This window comes from Homo sapiens, chromosome 15, assembly GCF_000001405.40.
Source record: "Homo sapiens chromosome 15, GRCh38.p14 Primary Assembly".
NCBI classification, from domain to species: Eukaryota; Metazoa; Chordata; class Mammalia; order Primates; family Hominidae; genus Homo; species Homo sapiens.
Window position 1 is genome coordinate 28883855 of NC_000015.10, and position 20648 is coordinate 28904502.

Here is a 20648-nt window from a genome sequence, read left to right on the forward strand (position 1 = left end):
TGTTACATGGGTATATGTGTGCCATGGTGGTCTGCTGCACCTATCAACCTGTCATCTAGGTTTTAAGCCTCACATGCACTAACTGTTTGTCCTAATGATTCTTCAAAAATTCTCTGAATACTGGCAGTTGGCTCAAGCTCACCAGATTTAGGAGTCCTGAGTGAGGCTGGGGGCAGGCCTGTACCTTTATTTTTAAATTTATTTAATTTATTTCATTTTTTAAAATGATAGGGTCTTGTTCTGTCACCAAGGCTGGAGTGCAGTGGCACGATCACAACTCACTGCAGTCTTGAACTCCTGGGCTCAAGCGAGCCTCCTGCTTCAGCTTCCCAAAGTATTGGGATTATAGGTGGGAGCCACTGTTCTTGGCCCTAGGCCTATACCTTTCATCTTGTGGACTGAGGACTTCAGCCACTATCACTCCCGGGTGCTGCGATGGGGTTTAATTTCCAGTGACTGGCCCAGAGCCTGCTCATGGGAAGATCTCAAGGGAGGCTGTTGAAGGAACAGCATGCAACTTACCGGCCCACACACGTTCACACAGATGGGGGTGGGGGTTTGAGGAGGTGGGGGGTGTTGTGTGGATCAGCTTCAGGCACAGGTGTCTGGTTTCCTATGGGATGTGACCACATAACAGTAAGGCAAGAAGATGACTGCATTTATCTTCTCAGAATCACTTCTTCTTAATTGTTGCTTCCCACTATTGGCATTGGTGAAAGGCTGGGCCACAGGAGGCTGGATGAACTTTGTGTTAGCCAGGTAAGCAGAATGTCTATGCAGGTGGAAAGTAGACAGTGAAGGTGTGCTCATCTGAGTACGGAGGGGCATAGGTCAGGAACCTCGTTGGCCTGCCCTGGCCTTTGCCCCTTTGTTTGGCCCTGTGGCTACAAAGCTCCCCTACCAGGAGCAGCCCCCACTGGCGGCTCTGGCCCTGGAAACCTGTGAATGTTTGGTGGGGGCAGGGTGTGGAGAGGCCAAGTCCACAGTGTATCTAACCCTAGTCCATCTCAGGATTCGGCTTCCCCCAGCCCCTTCTCCTTAGGGTCTCAGCTCGGGCCCTCAGGGCAGCAGGAAGATGCGCTGTCCTCACTCCCAAGTCCCCCTGCCCTTCTGTGCCTTCTGACCTGGGCAGAACTTCCCATGCCACAGCTTCGCCTAATCCAGCCACAGGAGAAAAGAAAACGAGGGCAAATCACCACGATTTGGGGGGAGGGAGGCCCCTGAGCCCCCGCTCTGCCCAGACAAGGCATCCTGTGCATCTCCCATGGCTCATCACATCTGCCTGGGACTCAGTGAAAGGGCCAGAGGGCCAAAGGTGACACCGGAGTCTCCAGCACGACCTTCGAGGGCCTCCAGGGCATTTCTCGCGCTGTAGGGGCGGAAGACTGGCTCCCCTGGGGATGCATGTGAGTGTCTAGGAGTGTACGCTCCCCAGGGCCCCGCGGAGGTCAGGGTTCTCTCCATTTAGGACAGCAAGGAGAGAAAGCCCTGGAGTGAGGCCCTGGGGCTGGGGGCTAAAGCAGCACAGAGTATCAGAAACGGGGTGCTGGGATGGTTACCGGGGACCGCCAGGGAAGACTTGGGAGTCCAGCATGCGCCTAGGGGAGCTGCGGTGGGGAGGCAGCAGGGGGCCTCCTCTGCCGGATGGGGCCTTCGGAGGCCGCGATCCCCGAGAGTTCTTCGCTCGAGGGTTCTTCGCTCTAGGGTCCCCCATTACAGCTGCGCGGGGCCGAGCAAGCAGGGCGCGGCGGCCGGGGCAAGGTGCGGAGCCTCGCGTTCACCGGCTCTACCTGCGGAGCCTCGCGTTCACTGGCTCTACCTGCGGGACCAGACCCCTGCAGCTCCCCAGCCAGCACGGCCGGGGCACGCCCGGGAATCTGTGTGCTCCCCAGGGCCCGGGGCGTTCGGGGCGCCGCGCCTTCCAGCGCCTGGGTCCCAGCCCCGATCCCGGAGACCGGCCCGGGGGGACCCGGGGTCCCGAGTGCACCCTCCTGCCCTGCAGACTGTCCCAGCGCCGGGGCCAGGGGGCGCAGGACCTCGCGCACGCCCGGCACGGACGCATCTTTGTCTTCCCTCTCTTCACGGCGCGCGATCTAGCCGGGAATCGTTTTCCGGCCCCAGTGTGCCCGGCGCGGGTGAGGCGGAAGCGGCCGGGGCGGGGGCGCAGGCCCGGCAGCCGCAGGCCGGTGCGGGATGCGCCCCGCAGCCGCGCCGCGTGCGCCCGGCAGAGGCGGCCCTGCGTGCCGTACGCTGCGTCCGGGGCGCGCCCGCCGCTATTCGGGAAGCTATTCAGCTTCCCGGGCTCATTAGCAGTCGCGGTGTGCGGCTCGGCGCGGGCTCACAAAGAGCTCGGCCTCGCGGACTGAGCCGGCGGCAGCGGGGCGGGGACGGCGGCGTACCCGGGCAGCCCAGCGCCCTGGCCAGGTAAGCTGGGGAACCTGGGCTGCCTGACTTGCCGGCGGCGGCAGCCTGGGGCCGCCCGGGGCGCCGCGAGGACCCGGACGCGTGGGGGGCGGCGCGGAGGTTGCGGCCCGAGCGCTCCAGAGCGCTGCCCTCCCGACTCAGCGTGGCTGCGGGGCGGCCGCCGCTGGGATATGGGGGTACAGCCCGGCGGCCCCACTCCTCTCTGACCGGCCGCTTCCCCCTCCCACGACGGGTGGGCGGGCGGGGCGGGGACCAGGCGGCGGCTCTCGCATCCCGCGCGGGGGGCACCGCGGCAAGGGGCCACCCGGCGCGGACAAGAGGCGCTGTGTGGCGGGGCTGTCCGCTCGACTCCTGCCGGGCTGGCCGGGCTGCTTGGCACCGGCATCAAGTCCCCGTGCCGGGCGGCAACTACTGAGTTTGGGGTCGCCTCTGGGTTCGCTGCCCCCAGAGAACCCAAGCCCAGATCTTCGCCCCCTTCCCTTTCCCTTTATAATAAGGCCCAGAGGGGAAAACTTATCAATTCAAAACCCCACACCCCGTTGCTCCTGGGCTGCAGGTGCCCGGTTGGGGGCACGGCGCGGACCTGCCCCTCGGCCTGGCCCCTTCCCCATGGCAGGCACTGCCTGGCAAGGCTGCTGGCGGGAGATCTGGCTGCAGATGGTGAAGGAGAACATCGAGGCCCCCGGTCCCCAAGCAGGGCGCCATGGGCCGGGCAGCGGGCCTCGGTGTGCCCAGGCGGGGAGGGGGCGAACTTCCTTTCTCCGACGCCTGCCGAGGACCGCCGTGGAGAGCAGAGCCTTAGAGGGGCCTGCTAGTCTTAACTTCGTATTTACTGGCAGAAGGAAGGCTTAATTTTTCAGATCTATTCAGATACGACCTGGCAGGCACCAGACATAAATCTGTGGTTGAGTGCAGTCAGCTCCTAAATGGGCATGTGGAGGGTGAGGCACCCCGAACTCGGCATCTTGCGTCTGGCACTGTTTTTGGGCTAAACTGCCTCTGGCCTCTTCAACCTCCTGTGCCTCTTTCTGTTTTTGTTTTTGTTTTATTTTTCTGTTTTCCTTCCTCTTTGAGAAAGGACAGTGATTTTAGAAATAATGACCCGAGAGCTTTGCAGGTTGAAGTGGGACGAGTTTTCCTAAGGTGCAGGTTGGCAGGTGCCAGGAGCCTGCAGGTGGCTTTTTCTCAGGCCTCTGGGTCAGGGTCCCTCCAATGAGGTGAGGCAGGGGTTTCTCCTGTGTGTCGCCACTACGCAGGGGACAGGATCTGGGTTTCCCAGTCCAGGGCGTCCAGGATGCCCTGCCCTCTGTGCTGATTCCTGGGTGACCGTGGGGGCTGCTTCCCCCTGCAGCCTGGGCTGGAGAGGGTCTCCTGAGCTTAGGATCTGCCAGGCAGGAGGGCCAGGGTGACACGGACCTGGAACGCTGGGGCTCCAGGCAATGTCCAGGGCGTGAGTGGGTAAAGCTGGAGCTTGTGGCTGTGTGCCGGCAGCCTTCCCTCGGTGGGCTCTAGCAGCACTGTCAGGGGGGCCCTTGGAGTGGGCTCCATGGCTGGGCTGGGACTGGGTGATGGCATTAGCGATGGGGCACCGAGTCTTCCCTCTTATTTATTAGGAAGTGTGGTCTGTGCCCCTCCCTACTGCCGGTCTCCTGGGCTCCTGGGATGGGAGGAGCTGCAGGCTGAGTCCCACGGGGTGTGAGTGTGTGTGAGCAGGAGAGTTGGGTGGGCGCTGGAAGGAGGTGAAACTGGTGACCGTCAGCTCCTCATTCTCTTCCACCTTGCATGTTTTCTCTGACACCCTAGACTCAAGTTGTGGCCTGCTAGTTAACTTGTTTACAAAACCTTTTTAAGTAGTTCTAACCTCTTTTTTTCAACAAAATGTTAGTTTTACAGGCATAATTGGTGGGGATGGATTGTGAAATGGAGGTGCATAAATACCTAGTTTGCCAACTGAGCTAAGAAATACTGGATAAAAATAAGAGATAATTGTAAAAGACACTGATCACACCCCTGGAAGCTGAGAGGGGTGATAAGACACCTTGATTTTTCCTAGACAAAACTGAGGAAGTCAGAGGAAAAACAGTTGATGGTGAGGTTGGCATCAGGCTGGGCTTTGTTTGGATTGGGCGGCGGTGGCTGTGGTGAGGGCTGTTGGAGTGGGGAGAGTGGGGGTTGAGCCTGGCTTCAGAGACCCCCTCGAGGCCTCAGCTCCTCTCCGGCGCTCCTGGCTGTCCTCTGCCACGCATACCTGCCCCGGTGACTCAACAGGTGTGGGCCTCAGGTGACACCATGGTCCGAAGTCGTGGAGAAACCTTTACTGTCCAGGGGAGGAGAGGACTGGCGGTCGGTGGGGATCGAGACCCAGCACACATCACTGGGTGGCTCGAATGTCTTCGGCAGAGATCACATGCCCTGCCTTGCAGCCTGGTCCTTAGAGAATGGGGAGAGTGGAGAGAGCTCTGGGCCTGGGTGGCGGGCGGTCCTGGCTGTATCACTCACAGGCTGCGTGCCCTCCCCATGCAGTCTCAGTTCCTCACCCTTGCCAGGTGGCTGTGAGGACTGGGAACGTGGAGGCACAGGTAGGATGTAAGGTAGCCACTGACCACCAGGCAGGCCTCCCCGATGTAGGTCAAGTTTGAGATGGTTGCTCACCAGGAGGCAGCCTGTGTGCCCGGTGGGGGCTGGGGGTGAAGTTTGAGAGGGTTGCTCACCAGGAGGCAGCCTGTGTGCCCAGCGGGGGCTGGGGGTGCTCTTTGTTCCCTTGGGTGGTGGTTGGCCCGAGTGCCCACAGGGAGGCTTCTCTGGCTCCTTCGTTTCCCAGAGTTCCTCCCCAACCCCCTGCCGCCCACCGCCTGGGTTGGGTCCAGCTCGTGTCTCAGAGCAGCCTGCTGGCACAGGCTGAGTCAGCTGTCGTGGGCACCGTCTTTTCTCGCCTCCCCTGAAGCCAATCTTCCCCTCTCTCCCTGTCCAGACACACAAGGGAGCCCTGGGAGGTAGGTGACCTCAAGATCATGCAGCCAGGCTCACTCTGTGGAACCCTACGTACTGGTGGGGTGCCACTGCTGTGTGCATTGTGATTTCTGTGCTGGCTGTGAGGTTTCCCAGGTTGGGGGCTGTGGGGTACTCCTGACTCTGCAAGTTGGCCCAGGCCAGGTGTGTCACCATTGCCCAGGCCTTCAGTGGCTTTCCAGTGCTCCCTCCACATCCACGTTACTCGGCTGGATTTTCTCAAGTTCCCCCACTTGCTCCCAAGAATGGCCCCTCCAGGCTGCCCTGGCTCCAGGCAGACAGGCTTACTGCCCAGATCTGCCCTGGGTTGTCCCCACCCCATCCCCACCTGTCATCTTGGCGCATGTCCATCCTGGAGATCCCAACTGAATGTGGGCTCTTTCCCTCTTATTCCTTGGTCCTCAGATTTGTCAGGCCACTCTTGCCTCAGGGCCTTTGCACCTGCTGTTCCCACCCCCTTGGCATGAGCCACCCCCAGATGCTCACATGGCTGGCCCCTCACTTATTGCCCACTCCCTGAAAGCCCTACATAAATTGGCTTTGTTAACCTTGCTTTGTGTTTCTCTTGTTAACCTTGCTTTGTGTTTCTCCTTAGTACTCACCATTCAGTGTGTTATTTATTTACTTGTTTGTTTATTGTCAGTCTCTTACCACTCAATTGTAAAAGACTTTGTTCACCTCTGGATCCCCAGTAGCTAGAAAAGTGCCTGGCACACAGCAGAGCCTTAGCGCTGTTGTTGGATGAGTGAGTGAACGAAACACGGGAGCAGTAGTCTCCTTGCAGCACATGTCCTGCTCCCTGTGCCTCCTTTTCCCGCGTCCCAGAGCTGGAACCTAGCTGTGTTCACATTTGGATCCTCCTGGCATGTAGCACAGACCCTCACTCAGTGGGCAGTCAGGAAAGAGCTGTAGAATTGTACAGTGCAACGTCAGTTTCACATAGGCCAGAGGAGAATGTGTTTGGGAAGGTAAGCAGCCCAAAGAGTGAGCTTTCTGATTCTGCACTAAGATTCCTTTTTGGATTTTCAGTTGTTTGGGTTCTCTGCACCCAGGCGGTCCCTGCTGCCAAAGTCAGCTCTGTGTCTCCCTGCAGTCACCTCGGATGTGGATGCACTTTGGAAGGAGGCACCCCCACGCCCAGATTCCCTTCCCACTCCATCTGGATCTTTCCAAACTTGTCTTGTATGTAATGTCAGACTCTGTCCCAGGGCTCCCAGCCACTCTGCTTTACCTTCCAGAAGCCTCCGCCTGCCTGACTGTCTCTTGCCTGTGTCCTGGCCTAGTTGGAGGAGATGCTTTAGTTTTATGAGAAAGGGACTGGGAGGTTGGAAAAGAGGATGGGATTTGGAGTAACAGGAGCTCAGTTCCAGCCTGGCCCTGCCACTAATCCCTGGGGCCCAGGGCCAGTCACCTGGCTTGAGAGTCTTTCTCAGCATCTGCAATACACGCACGAGGCCTCTTGCCTGCGGTTGTTTTGAGGCACAAATGAGATGCAATATTTAACTGATGCAAGATATTTTATGACAGCAAGTCATTTGGTGTGGCCACGTAGCCTTGGGCCTGTGTGGCTTCTCTTACTGTCCTGAGAGTTTTAAGGGTCAGGTTTGTGAGTTACAGCTACGGCCTAGTGAGAGAATGCAGAGGAGGCACGTCATAAACTCTAAGGGGCTGTTTTAATATAAGGTGCTATGTCTGTTGTTTTGTGTTTCAAGGATCAAAGTTAAGAGAAAAAAAATATGTGGTTGAACTTCCTGCATTGAGTGACTGAAAATATTTTCATCTCTAGTTTTCTGGAAACGGAAACACTCCAACATTTGAAGATGGTTTTGATGGCGAAACCACTGGAATGAAATGCACATCATTGGGCAATTCTGTGTGTTGAGTTTCATCCTTCTTTGTTTGTCATTTTAAATAATTTCCCGACAAATCTGGAAGGCACGTCTTGTCTTAACTTTGCAACAAGGAGGCTGGGGACAGGTAGCTGAGCTGTGGGTTGCCTAAGAACACTCTGCTGTGACGGGGCAGTGCTGGCCTTTGAGCCTGAGCTGGAGAGAGTGTGAGGCCCATGTTTTCTCCCTGTCTCCTGCTGGGGCCCATTTTGTATCAGATTTGTTTTTCACGGGGTGGGCATGACTAGGACTCGTGACCACTGGTGGGCAAGTACAGAGGCTAATTTTCAACACGTGCCGAGAGACTGATGGCTGGCATCAGAGAGTCATGGAAATGCCACAGATGACATGGGCCCTTCACAGGGATGGGGAGAGGGTCTGGGAGCTTGCCCTCCAGGAAGGTGGCTGACATGGTTGGTGGGACATGAAGGTGTTTTCCGTTTTGCACTTGAAGCCAACATGGATTCTTAGCACTTGTTGTCCCTAGAATCAACTGCGCAGAGAGATGCTTGGTTCTGAAACTCTCAGGCAAGGACAGTTCTGAGGAAACTCTCATTAGTAAATAGTGAGTCGGAGAACACTATTGACATTTGGCATTTTCAGTTGAGATATATGTGTACAGTCATGCGTCACATGACAGTGTTTTGGGGAATGATAGCATATATGACAGAGGTCCCATAAGATTATTATGGAGCTGAAAAATTCCTATTGCTTAGTGACATTGTCGTAAAGTTGTAGTGCAGTTACTTTATTTTTTAAAAAAATTTAATGTAGCCTAAGTGTACAATATTTATAAAGTCTACGCTAGTGTACAGATGGACTCACCCAGAGAAATTTCCAGTCTTGCAAGCTCCATTCATGGTTAGTGTCCTAGATGGGGTACTGTGTTATATATAATATATATATATGTTTTTTTGAGACGGAGTCTCGCCCTGTCACCCAGGCTGGAGTGCAGTGGCTCAATCTCAGCTCACGGCAAGCTCTGCCTCACGGGTTCATGCCATTCTCCTGCCTCAGCCTACCGAGTAGCTGGGACTACAGGCACCTGCCACCACGCCTGGTTAATTTTTTTGGATTTTTAGTAGAGACGGGGTTTCACTGTGTTAGCCAAGATGGTCTCGACCTCCTGACCTCATGATCCGCCCACCTCGGCCTCCCAAGGTGCTGGGATTACAGGCGTGAGCCACCACGCCTGGCCCATGTTTTATCTTTTATACCATATTTTTACTGTGCCTTTTCTATGTTTAGATAGATACTTGTGTTACAGTTGCCCACAGTATTCAGCGTGGTAACATGCTGCCCAGGTGTGTAGCCTGGGAGCAATGGCCTGTAACCTATAGCCAAGGTGTGGAGTAGGTTTGTATAAAGTATGCTCTATGATGTTTGCACAATGATGAAATTGCCTAATGACAAATTTCTCAGAACACATCCCTGCCATTAAGCGATGCATAACTGTGTGTATATGTGTGTGTGTGTGTGTGTATGTGTACGTATATATGTGTGTATGTATGTGTATATATATATAAAATTTTTTTTATTTGGTTGGTTTTACATTCCTGGAATTGACTCTCCAGCAGGGCAGCTGTAAATATGAATTCCTCCGAACTGTTGTATGCATTGTTAATTTAGTAAAGTACAGTTTATGGTTTCCCACCGTTGGTTTAATTGTCAACTGTCTTGGAAAAATCCATTGTTGCAAAAACAGGAAAACCACTAATTGAGTGAATGCGTGCATTTAGGGATGATGGATTTCTCAGGTCTCTCTGGAAGCAAGTGTGTGCCTTGTGCAAATAAAACATAGTTTCTGTTTCTCAGTCTTTTGCTGTAATAAGTGAGCCATGTGCTCTAGCATCTGTCTGGATTATCCGGAGCTGGTGGCAGCTGTCACGGGTGTGGTGCAGTGGGGCCAGGCATGTGTTAGGAACTGGAAGCTCTGGGAAGCCAGGCTTTGCCTCCACGTGTGAGCCAGCTGTAGAGCGTCACTGCTCAGAGTTTGTCTTGACTCATCCTGAGAAGGGCACGTGGAGATCTGTGTCCCATTCCTCACCAGCCACTGAGTTACTATGGATGGAGGAGATGAGATGTGTGCAACTGTTCTGCTACAGTAAAGCACTCAGTCAGTGCAGTCACCAGGTTTAGGGTGTGTGTGTGTTTTACCAACTTGCCTGCTGGGTTTCAGACACCTGGCACTACCTCCAGCCTCTTACTGATTCTGGCTAGTACTTGTGAAAGCCGTCAGCTGGGTGATGAATGGACCGATTTTGGCCGCAGGTCCCTGCACTTCCCATCTGGCCTGACTGCTAGATTCTGAGCCCCTGAGGCAGGACTGAGTGGGTCACATTAATGGCTGATTGTCTCGGGAATGGCATTGGGTGAAGTCGAGGTTTTCCTGACCCACAGCTCCTAGTAGAAGTGCCTTTCTTTTGTGCATGTATTGTGAAGATTCTGCCTGTGAACTTTCTCTACCCTTTGAGTCCTAAGGTTCAGGTACTTGGAGAGGAGCGTGTCATCGTTTTGCAGGTTGGATGTGCGGTTGTTGGGGAAGACATCTTTGTGCTGTGTTGGGTTGGAAGCTTTGAGAGCAGAAGCCCCTCCAGACCAAGAACTCCTGATTATGTCTCTCCCTTGGGCTTTCGCAGTTTTCAGCTTCTAAATTAATTGCATTTTATTAAGTAATGGTTTTCTTCTTGATCACAGGCGTGCCTGTGCTTAATCAGCACTGACGACTGGTGCTGCTTCAGTTGATTTGATACACCTAGAGGCAGCCTCATCTCCAACTTGCCTTGACTTCGTCTGGGGAGCTGCCGTGGGGGACCCCTGGACTGGCAGCATTCCCACCCCTCACTTTGGCAACCCTGGTCTAACTCCGTACGTGTTACTCCTTTTATCTGTCACATAGGGTGGCTTAATCTAATAGTGGAAACAAAGGGGTGCGGGACACTAACATGGTAGGTCTCACCTTGCCTGTCATTCACCTCTCAGTCCTTTGACACTCAAGGACTCTGCAGTGGTAGAACCGGGGGCAGGTACCCTTCACTTTTCTTACCCCCGAGTCCCTTTGCCTGGAGCTCTGTCCATCCATCCACCCATCTACTCAGTAGGTATTTTCTGAGCAGCTACTGTATTCCAGCTTTCTTGTTCCCAGTTTAGAGCTGGGTGGGATCAGGAGGGAGGGCATGGAGGGGGCTGCTGGAGAATGTGCAGTGGCATCAGAGCCCCATTCTGGCTCTGGGTCCAAGGCCCTCCTAGAGAGGCACAGTCTGGCAGATGTGAGAGCCCCATGGTAGGTTGGGGTGGATCATGGACCCCATCCTATAAGAGTGGGTGGGTTTACCCCTTCAGAGCCCAGGCCAGAAGAGCCCTCCAGGCAAAGGGCCAGCCTGGAATGGGGCACCCTGGGCACAGGGGGGACTATGTGGTTTGTGTAGGTTAGAGCTGGAGATGGGGGTTGGAGGGCAGTTGCTGACGATTAGGAGCTTGGTGGCCCTAGAGAGTCCTTGCTGTGGGTTGGGAGCGAAGCAGATGGGCCAATAACAACGCATAGTTTACCAAGCGAACTCTAGGAGAGTGATTTCTGCAGCTGGCTTCCCTAGCAGACAGGTCAGAGCGTGGGAGAAGGACGCCGTTAGGGGCATGTTCAGGGGTGCATCTAGAGGCGAGGGGAGGGTGCGGGGAGGTGCTGGTGGAAGATGCACTGCATGGGGTGGGGAGGGGCTCAGTAAGAACACAGGAGGGTGGCGGGGGCAGGTGTCTGGCCAAGGCAGCTCCTGCGTCATTGGGGGGCTCCAGAGCCCGCTCCCTATGTTCTGTAGGAGGCGGCTGCTGCTGCCAAGTCCCAGCCTTGCTAGTGAGGACGTTTAATTTTACCCTTTAGAGATTTACAGGATTTCTAGATTAACTTGCCCCTGTTTTTCTAAAAGAACGACAAAATCCATGACAAACCGTTCATCACATTATTAACTGGCTCACCCAGCCTTAACCTGTGCAGCTCCGCCAACTTACCCTCGGCACACAGGGAGGCCTGGGTCCCCAGGCAGCTCCAGTGTGCAGGGGTGTGGGTGACAGCGCAGGTGTGGCCTCCCTGCTGCTGGCCTCCGGTGGCTGGCCTCAGCCTGGCTGGGCACGCAGGCTGTCCTTACGGGGCTCCCAGTAGCTTTCTGGTCCTGCGTCAGGAGAGGGGACTGCACAGGGCTTGGGAAAGAGAGCGGGAGCAGCAGTGCCGCAGGATGATGGGCTCCAGAGGCCTCTGCAGCAGGGGTACTCTGGGGAGACATTCGGGTGCCTCCTGTCCATGGCCTCGATGTGCCAGGGCGCCTGCAGCTTGGACCCTCTTCCCCTTTCAGGCGGAGGGAGCTGTTCATCCTCTGGGGGCTGCTGGGCCAGAAATATCTCTTACCTGATAATGTCAGGCATCAGAGGTTCCTGTTTCGTGGGTAAGTTGCTGTATGTTTTGGGGCTGCAGTCAGTCTGTTTTTCTCACTGGCATGGCATGGGGGTGGGGGGCAGTATTCCCTCCCATGAGGCCCATGTCCACCTCATTATCTCTGTCTGCTGGGACTGCGCTGGATGCTGGCTGAGGCTGCCTTTGTTACTTTCATGCGCCATAACTGGAAAGGCCTGCTGCTTGTTAGGCTCCTTAGAATTCTGATTTGAAGGCTGGGCATGGTGGTTCATGAGGTAATCCCAGCACTTTGGGAAGCCGAGGAGGGAGGCTCGCTTAAGCCCAGGAGTTTGAGACCAGCCTGGGTAACGTAAGGAGACCCCATCTCTACAAAAAAATAGAAAAGTTAGTCGGATGTGGTGGCTCACGTGTGTGGTCCTAGCTACTCGGGAGGCTGAGGTGGGAGGATCCCTTAAGCCCAGGAAGTTGAGGCTGCAGTGAGCTGTGACTGCGTCACTCTACTCCAACCTGGGTGACAGTGAGAACCTGTCTCAAAAAAAATATCTGATTTGAAGGAGAGGGAGCTCTATTTGATGCGGGGGTTGGGGGTGGAGAGCACCTCTGTGAGTAGACCTTTCTGTCATCTTGATGGTTTTAATCAGATATCTAATATTATATTAGTAGTTCACGTCAACTGATGTCCCAAACCCACTTTCTTCTCTTCTCTTCTCTTCTCTTTTGAGACAGAGTCTCATTCTGTCGCCCAGACTGGAGTGCAGTGGCACGATCTCAGCTCACTGCAAGCTCCGCCTCCCGGGTTCACGCCATTCTCCTGCCTCAGCCTCCCCAGCAGCTGGGACTACAGGCGCCCGCCACCACCCCCGGCTAATTTTTTGTATTTTTAGTAGAGACAGGGTTTCACCGTGTTAGCCAGGATGGTCTTGATCTGCTGACCTCATGATTCGCCCACATCGGCCTCCCAAAGTGCTGGGATTACAGGCATGAGCCACCGCGCCTGGCCTCTTTCTTTATTGTGATGTAGAGAAACCAAACTCTGGTGTATTTAATCCATTGTGTTTCACAGCAGGGATCACTGCCTGGCTCGCCTGTCATGGTGTGGGGGCAGTGCCTGATTCTGGAGATGGGCTATCATTGTGCTGACTGGGTCAGCAGTGGCTGCTCCCAAAAAGTCCCATAAAACCCACCCATATTTGTAGAAATCCAAATAGAGTTTACTTCCCAGTGGTCACCCTTTTAAATACAATTAGATTTAGTTTCAAGGAAGTAACTGGAGTTATAATACATTAATTTGGGACTGATTTTTGTCCCACCCATCCAGTCCCTGACAGTGGTCCCCAAACTCTCAATCATGTTCCTTATTGGAACCTTCCAGGCTGGCATAGGCTTAGGGTCCATTACGGGTGTTCAAGGTCCAGAATTCATGTCACCTGATTGCTTGGACACAACTGGACCTCACATCTCCGGCCCTGACACCAGAAACTAGGCCTCCATCTGCCAGTGTCTTAGTGGAATCTATTTTAGCAAATGACTCATCTTAAAATAATGCACTATGTAATCAACAAGAAAATGAGAGAACACCCAGTAGGAAAATGGCAAAAGACACGACACACACACACACACACACACACACACACGTCCACTAAAGAGATGAAAAAGTACTCCACTCCATTAGTCATCAGGGAGATGCAAAATGAATTGTAAATGGGACACCATTCCACACCCACCAGAATGGCTAACATCAAAAGAGCAGAAAAAGCTGGGTGCAGTGGCTCAATGCTTGTAATCCCAGCACTTTGTGAAGCTGAGGCGGGTGGATCACCTGAGGCCAGGAGTTTGAGACCAACATGACCAACATGGTGAAACCCTTTCTCTACTGAAAATACAAAACAATTAGGTGGGCATGGTGGCGGGCGCCTATAACCCCAGCTACTCGGGAGGTTGAGGTGGGAGAATCACCTGAACCCGGGAGGTGGAGGTTGCAGTGAGCCGAGATTGCACCACTGCACTCCAGCCTGGGCAACAGAGCGAGATTCCGTCTCAAAAAAAAAAAAAAAAAAAAGAGAAAAAGAGCAGAAAATAGCAGGTGTCGGTGAGGATGTGGAACAAATGGACCTCTGATTGTTGGTCAGAGTAGACATTCGTACAACTGCTTTGGGAAGCTTTTTTGTAGAATTAACTAAAGCCAAGCTTACATATACTCTATGACCAGCAGTCTCAATCCAAATGAAATGGAGTGAAATGGGCATATGGGCATTAGTGACCTTCAAATGACATCAGGTTCTAATCCCTGAAACCTGTGAATGTTACTTTATGTGGTAGTGGTTTTGCAGATGTGTTTAAGGATTTTGTAATGAAGAGATTGTCTTGAATTATCTGGGTGGGCCCTAAATGCCATCCTCAAGGATCGTATAAGAGAGAGGCAGAGAGAGATGTGACCAAGGAGGCGGAAATTGGAGTGATGCGGCCACAGCTCAGGGAGCACCGGCAGCTGGGAGAAACTGGACAGGGCCAGGTAAAGGATTCTCCCCTGGTGCCTCTGGAGGGAATGTGGCCCTGCCAACAGCTTGATTTCAGCCCAGTGAAACTGCATGTAGACTTCTAGCCTCCAGAACTGCGAGAGAAGAAATGTGTTTTCAGCCACCCAGTTTTGTGGTCATTTGTCACAGCAACCGTTGGAAATGGATACAGCCATCAAGAGACACACAAAAGTGTCCATAGCAGCGTGATGGTAACTGCCAAAGTGCAAAGAAACCAGATGGCCATCAGCAGCAGAATAGATCAGTACCCCGAGGGTCTTCTCACAGGGCACACTGTACGGCAGGCCGAGAATGAGCACTCTGCAAATGTGGCAGCTGTGTGGATGGGGCTTGCCACGTAACGTTGAGCAAAAAACCCCAGATGCTAGAGTGTGTAATGCATGATTCTGTGTCTAGGAAGGGCAACAGACAACTGTCATGTGTGGAAATCAGGTTGCCTTCGGGAGATGGTACTGATAGGAGGCCCAGGGGGAGGGAAGCACAGCTTTTGGAGGTGCTGATGATGTCCCCTTTCCCCATCTTGGTTTGCATGGGAAGGTTCCATTTATGCTATGGAACTTTTCTGTATGTATATATTTCAAGAAAAAGTATAAAAACAGAGCAGTTCATGATCTTGGAGTTTTCAAGGTGAAATTTGAATGGAATGAGTCATGGCTTCTTCTACTGCTAGAACAATACTATCAAAATTGAGATTATACTTAATGTGAGATAATTAGATTTTGCCATTACAACAAATGCTACTAAATATTCAGATGCACACTATATTTTCTAAGTGAGATCAGGGTATGTAAACCCGAGTAGGACGCTAAGATGTATATAGATTTAATTGGTGTGGATAAGTTATCTGCAGGAAATGTATTTTTATTTCTGCATATAAAAGAAGCTGTGCTTTTAAAGAAAACTAGACACAAGTAACCAAATGTTTAAGTATCAAACGTTATGTGGTTGCAGTTGAGAGGGAAACCAAAGAGCTTTAAGAAGAGCAGTCGGGGGGAGATGTGGCGCATGGAGAACTCATCGGGGGCAGCCCCATGTCCTCGCAGCCCAGAAGTCCTGGGTGGAGGTTCTATGGCACCACCTGGCTACCTGCCTCCCCAGGCAAGGGCCCAACCCCTCAGGTCCCCAGAGGCGCCCCATCTCCTTTGCCTACGTCTCTCCCCACCTGCCTTCCCTGCCTCATCTACCTGTGAACTTCTCATTCCTCTGGACTCTACTTTGCCCCTTCCGGGTTGCCCCCAGAGCTCTTGTTCTGGCTGTGAGCCCACCAGGATAGGGCCATGTCGCTGACTTCAGAGGAGAGAGACTCTTTGTCTGACGACTGTTGACCTCGTAACCACTCAGCTTCATGGGCCACAGTGTGCTTGAGTGAGCACAGCCATGGCGTGGGTTCACCTGAGGCTTCGTGGAAGCCGTGTTGCGTTGCAGCCGGTTGGAGGCTTCCGTATGCTCAGGGCGTCGTGTGTGCCCGGCCTTGCTCTGCACAGCTCATCTGTGCATGTGAGCTCACTTCCTCCTCAGCCTCCCACAGAGGCACTGGGAGACCTTGGACTGGACACGCGTGCAGGCCTGGTCATGGCATTCCTGCAAGCGTGCTATCTGCGGGCTGTTTCCGATTCACAGGGCAAAGGGTGTAGATATGCAGAATGAGCATGTAGGGACCTTCGTGGTCGCCTCTGTGTGTTGGATCGGATAATAAAGTGAGGAATGTCTTTAAAAAAAATTCATTTAGGTAGTAATTTAGTTTTATTTTATTTTGCAAAAGTACAGATCTGTAATATACTATGAAAAAACCAGTCTTTCCCCCAAGATGCTTTGCGACACAGTGGTGTGAAGTGTGGGAGAGTGTGTCGGGAGAGATGAGGAGGCAGGGCAGGAGTGGAGGGTCGGAGAGCAGGAGGTGAGGGACCCCTGGGGGAGAGGACCTCAATGTTGTGTCAGTTCCTTTCTAGGTGAGGAGTTGGAGCCCCAGACAGGGGGACTGGGCCGTGGTCACGGGTGGCAGAAGCAGAGCCTTTGTTTGCACCAGACCTTGACCCTGCGCCCCGTGGGTCCTCCCAACCCTTCTTCCCAGCCTCCTCCGCCTGGACTCAGGCTTCTTCGGGCTCATCAGACCTGAACAGCCTGGCAGTGTGGCTGTGTGGGAATGGGTGACAGGTGCTGTTCTCCCCAGTGCAAATCACCAATGCTGGGCACCGTGCATCAGCGTCGTGGTGACGGCAGCATTGGGTGGATCTTCAGGGAATGTCGCTTGTGCCCTCTCGGGCTCTGAGGGTCCCACATGACAGAGACCAGCATCTACTGCCCTGGCCACTCACTCAGGTCACTTTATGCTTGGTGACACATCACAGTTGCTCAAACTGAAGCCTCCCTGTGGCTTTGTCATCTTCTTTCCAGCCAAGGGGGCTGTCCCGACAGACTCTCCCCATCACCTTGGCATTTTACTACTGTGGTGTGTTTGGTGACATTTGTAAATGTGGTGATTTTTTTTGCTGTGCCCTTTGTTGCTGTGGCTGCTTCTACAAATGTTAGGATAAGCTGTCGGGGGCCGCTTCCCTGCGTTTTGAGCCCTTTAGCCTGGGCGGCGCCCCTGTGTGTCCTGTTTCCCTGTCAGGATGTCCTGTCCCATCTGCAGCCTCTTCACCCTGCAGGGACTTCTCTTGTGTCTCTGTCCTGTGGCTGACTGGCTGCCTGGCAGAGAGGCAGGCACTCACTCATTTGCTCACCCCTTCACCCAGGTCCTCCTTGTAATATGTATTGTAAATTGTATATTTACAACTTACCCTTGTCCACATGCATGCGGCCCACTGCCCTGCCCCTGGCTGGGGCTGACCCCTGGATCCCAGCACCTGGCACAGCACCTGGAACTCGGTAGCTGCTCCAGGAAAGTGGTCAAATGGTTTCAACAGCTCCACACCCCGTCCCATGTCAGAGAGACTAGAGTACCAAGCCCAGCACTGTTCCGGTGGTCATTTCCAGGGATGTGCGTGAAGCAAGCTGGTGTCATGTGATGCGGTCACTCTAGAACCTCAGAAAGATTTTGTGTCTTCAGCCATACTGCAGGCACGCTTGGCTCTGTCCGGTGCTTGGGGAGCACAGTGGCTTCATCAGCCATCACCGTGGCCTGAGGATCTGAAAGGGTGTCTGAGGGGTGGGCCTGGTGGTGCTGCCCCTACCCCCAGCCCCCACCCAGCTCTGGGGTTTGGGGTTGTCTGAGCCCCGCCCCACCCTCCCAGATCCAGTGGGAGCCAGCGTGGCACGGCAGGGCCCTGTGGCTTGGGCCAGGCTCTCTCTATGGTCTCCTGGCTGGCATTTGCACTATGGAAAGCCCCTCTTCCTATGGGCCTGTCCTTGCCTTCAGCACAGCTGGGATTTGGGGTGGGTTTTCAGTATGTGGTGCTGTGTGTGGTTCAGAAGCACAGACGCATGACTTCTCTGTGCCCTGGATGCTTTCCAGCTGCATCTCCCATGTTCTTGGTTGGGGGGTGGCGCTTTGTTTATTGCACCTGGGGGAGGGTTGAGTGGTCCTGGATGCAGCCCCTTCTCATCTCCCTGTGCCGTGGCCACACCCCTGACTGTTTTTGCCCTGGATGATTGATGTGGGAGCTGGACTGTGGCCAGAGACTCTCCCTGCCCATGTTGGCCTGTGGACTGCTGCCTGGCCACCCTGCGGGGTTAGGGACGTCTCAGGAGTGAGCATTCCAGTGTTTGCAGTGCCGAGGGCATCATGCCAGATTCTGGCACACACACAAACCAGCATCGGGAAGCCTGGACCCTGCCCTCGGGGAGCTTTTGATGTGTGTGTGTGTGTGTGTGTGTGTGTGTGTGTATGTTGGGGGTCTGGGGTGGGGGAGGGGAAGAATAAAGGGCCAGATGGGGCTCCAGCGAGGTATGGCAACAGGAGGGAAGATTCAGGCCTGAGTGAAGCAGGCATCACAGATGGGGGCTCATAAAAACCCGAAGGTAAAGGGGGGTGCATTTCCATCCTCGCTCCTCCAATGTGGGCTGCACACAGTGACCTCTGTCCACAGAGCCCAGTGCAGAAAGGGGAAGCAGAAACCCAACACACACCGCCTCAGCCTGGGGGCCACAGTTGGCGCCAACAGCAAGTCATGTGGGTGGCACATGCCCTGGGTGCTGTGGAGGGAGGAGGGCACTTTCCTTCTGTATCCGTCCTCCCCCAAATCCGTTACCACTACGTAATTATGAGGAAAACTCCAGACAAATTCCAGTTGAGGGGCATTCTACAAAATACCTTGCCAATGCTCTTCAAAATATCAAGTCCATCAAAACTAAGGACACTCTGAGATGCTGTCACAGCCAAGAGGAGGGCCCTCTTCCCCTTTCAGGTGGAGGGAGCCTGAGGAGACGCGACAGCTGAACATGATGTGCTGTCCTGCAGGAGGTCCCGGAGCAGAAAGAGGGCGCTAGGGAGAAGCTATGGAAATGCCAATGAAGTATGGACTGTAGTTAATAATGGTGGATCGAGATTCATTAATTGTGATTCATGTGCTGTGCTGATGTATGGCGATGTTAATAATCATGGAAGGTGGCTGTGGGTATATGAGAACTCTGTGGAGTCTGCTCAGTTTTTCTGTAAGTCTAGAACTGTTCTAAAAATGAAGTCTATTAATTGTTGGAAGGCAGATTGTGTCCCTCCACCATGTCCCTGGTGGTGGGACCTTGGCTCCAAACCTCACTGTTCCCCCATCTGTCTCAGGACCCTCACCTTTGTCATCCTTTTCGGTTCCTCTTTACTGTTCCCATGAAAACTGGGGGGTAAGCTCATGTTAGTATTTAGAATATGTATGTTTTAGTGCCCCAAGTTTCTGGGTGCTTGAAAATGACCGGTTTCTCAGATGCAGCCTGCCTGGGTGCTGGGGGCCATCCCTGGGAGAGAGAGAAGCCCAGTGACTTGAGCTTGGAAGATTTTGAAAACAAAACATCAAAGCCTGGTTTGCTGACGTCCTGTGGCCCAGTTCACTTTCTGTGGTGCCGGCCAGGTTCCATGGGTCTGATGATGCCGGCAGCAGTGTCCCTGGCCTCTGGCTTTATCTTATGTTCACTAGAAAAGAAGAATATGTCCTGTGATACTTGATCCCCTGATCAGCCCCTGGGCTCACTTATAGTCAGTGACAGAGGCCATGTTTTTTTGGGGGGTGATATTGGTCACGATAGACGATAGTGACCAAAGCTGTTGTAAGTGCGGTTGACCGTCCAGTGAGGAGGCAAAAGAGAGCCAACATCTTCATGAACTGGGCTGGCACCTGAGCATTTATGGCCATGGCCTAGCTGAGTAGCTGGTCGATCCACTTTGTTCCTGCAGAAAGGGTGGCCTGCTGGGGACACAGAAAAACAGCCCTGGCCACTGAAATGGCCATTTCAGCTTCAAGTTACATAAGCGTCAGCGCCTGTATTTGTGGTGGAGGCCCAGGATGAAATGAAATATTGCCCAGGGAGGGCAGAGCTGCAGTCCTGTAAATGGGCGGGGACCCCGTGGTCTTGTGGAGTCAGCAGGGACAGCTGCGGTTTAGTGGAGAGTCAGAGGGGCCTTCCTGGGACCCCACTGCCTCCCTACAGTCCAGCTTGCGGCTGGCAATGACATCCACTTTGCAAGATGATGTGAGTCATGACAGAGCCAGGACCTGGCACAGGGGAGGTGCTGGGTGAGGGACAGGCAGTGCTCTGTGGTGGGCCAGTGGTGGGAAGGACCCTTCTGGAAGGCGGAAGACCTACACTGCCGGGGCCCTGGGCAAGTCACAGCCTCCTCACTTGTCCCTGAGGAGGGACAAGGACAAGTCAGAGGAAGTGATTCCTACGGGTCTTACCACTCATCCGGATTTTGTGACAAAATTAGGTTGAACCATATGAAACTGTTATTTCTGTATGTCAAAAAGTGATCCAATATAGGCAACTTCATATGCCTCAACTCAGCAGTTTAGCATTACAGCGATTTTTGGCAAGAGAGAACACTTTTATTTAAAAAACATTATTTTTAGTTATCACATATGAATTCATTCATTGTATTGGAAAACAGAGATAGCAGAAAGCGAAAGGAGGAAGCTTTGAGATACCAGACTCCACCCGCCGGGGGCCCTCCTGTTGTTTGCCCACGATTCCTCCCTGTTCCTGGGCACCCCGGCTCCCAGCATTCCTTCTCCTGGACGGTATATGAGGAGCACTTTCCACACTCATGGACGGTTTCTTCCACACCCAGCCATACGAGTTTGTCCTTTCTGGAGCTGGATCCCAGGGTTGGACATTAAATTTGTTTAGAATGTTTTTCTGCTATGAATGAATGCTGTAATAAATATCCTTGTAGTTGTGTTTTTTGTTTTTTATTGGCAGATATTCATGATCCCTTACTATAAATTTACAAGAGTAGAATTG

The 20648-nt window shown here is 53.5% G+C and overlaps 1 protein-coding gene across 18 annotated transcripts in view, besides 7 other annotated features; it reads left to right on the forward strand.

Annotated features, from left to right (window-relative positions):
• Positions 1-2119: 2119 nt before the first annotated feature.
• Positions 2120-20648, forward strand: part of APBA2 (amyloid beta precursor protein binding family A member 2) — a 232342-nt gene continuing 213813 nt past the window's right edge. For 16 of the 18 annotated variants that reach the window (NM_001353790.2, XM_047432424.1, XM_011521489.3 and 13 more), the window contains exon 1: positions 2120-2424. The gene's annotated coding sequence lies outside the window, so the exon portion shown is untranslated. Of the gene's footprint in view, positions 2425-11665; positions 11756-20648 lie in introns of those variants that run through there. The other 2 variants (NM_001379685.1, XM_047432412.1) reach the window with 2 other exon arrangements.
• Positions 12496-13056: an enhancer, noted in NCBI's record as "OCT4-NANOG hESC enhancer chr15:29141496-29142056 (GRCh37/hg19 assembly coordinates)". NCBI's record gives its function as "activates a minimal SCP1, AML or CMV promoter by ChIP-STARR-seq in naive H9 embryonic stem cells {active_cell/tissue: H9 hESC(naive)}" and the evidence as "EXISTENCE:reporter gene assay evidence [ECO:0000049][PMID:30033119]".
• Positions 15665-15856: a silencer, noted in NCBI's record as "fragment chr15:29144665-29144856 (GRCh37/hg19 assembly coordinates)". NCBI's record gives its function as "represses an EF-1alpha promoter that drives an FKBP-Casp9 reporter gene in an ReSE screen in HepG2 liver carcinoma cells {active_cell/tissue: HepG2}" and the evidence as "EXISTENCE:reporter gene assay evidence [ECO:0000049][PMID:32094911]".
• Positions 16615-17168: an enhancer, noted in NCBI's record as "H3K4me1 hESC enhancer chr15:29145615-29146168 (GRCh37/hg19 assembly coordinates)". NCBI's record gives its function as "activates a minimal SCP1, AML or CMV promoter by ChIP-STARR-seq in naive H9 embryonic stem cells {active_cell/tissue: H9 hESC(naive)}" and the evidence as "EXISTENCE:reporter gene assay evidence [ECO:0000049][PMID:30033119]".
• Positions 17721-18272: an enhancer, noted in NCBI's record as "H3K4me1 hESC enhancer chr15:29146721-29147272 (GRCh37/hg19 assembly coordinates)". NCBI's record gives its function as "activates a minimal SCP1, AML or CMV promoter by ChIP-STARR-seq in primed H9 embryonic stem cells {active_cell/tissue: H9 hESC(primed)}" and the evidence as "EXISTENCE:reporter gene assay evidence [ECO:0000049][PMID:30033119]".
• Positions 18273-18824: an enhancer, noted in NCBI's record as "H3K4me1 hESC enhancer chr15:29147273-29147824 (GRCh37/hg19 assembly coordinates)". NCBI's record gives its function as "activates a minimal SCP1, AML or CMV promoter by ChIP-STARR-seq in primed H9 embryonic stem cells {active_cell/tissue: H9 hESC(primed)}" and the evidence as "EXISTENCE:reporter gene assay evidence [ECO:0000049][PMID:30033119]".
• Positions 19359-19860: an enhancer, noted in NCBI's record as "H3K4me1 hESC enhancer chr15:29148359-29148860 (GRCh37/hg19 assembly coordinates)". NCBI's record gives its function as "activates a minimal SCP1, AML or CMV promoter by ChIP-STARR-seq in primed H9 embryonic stem cells {active_cell/tissue: H9 hESC(primed)}" and the evidence as "EXISTENCE:reporter gene assay evidence [ECO:0000049][PMID:30033119]".
• Positions 19861-20360: an enhancer, noted in NCBI's record as "H3K4me1 hESC enhancer chr15:29148861-29149360 (GRCh37/hg19 assembly coordinates)". NCBI's record gives its function as "activates a minimal SCP1, AML or CMV promoter by ChIP-STARR-seq in primed H9 embryonic stem cells {active_cell/tissue: H9 hESC(primed)}" and the evidence as "EXISTENCE:reporter gene assay evidence [ECO:0000049][PMID:30033119]".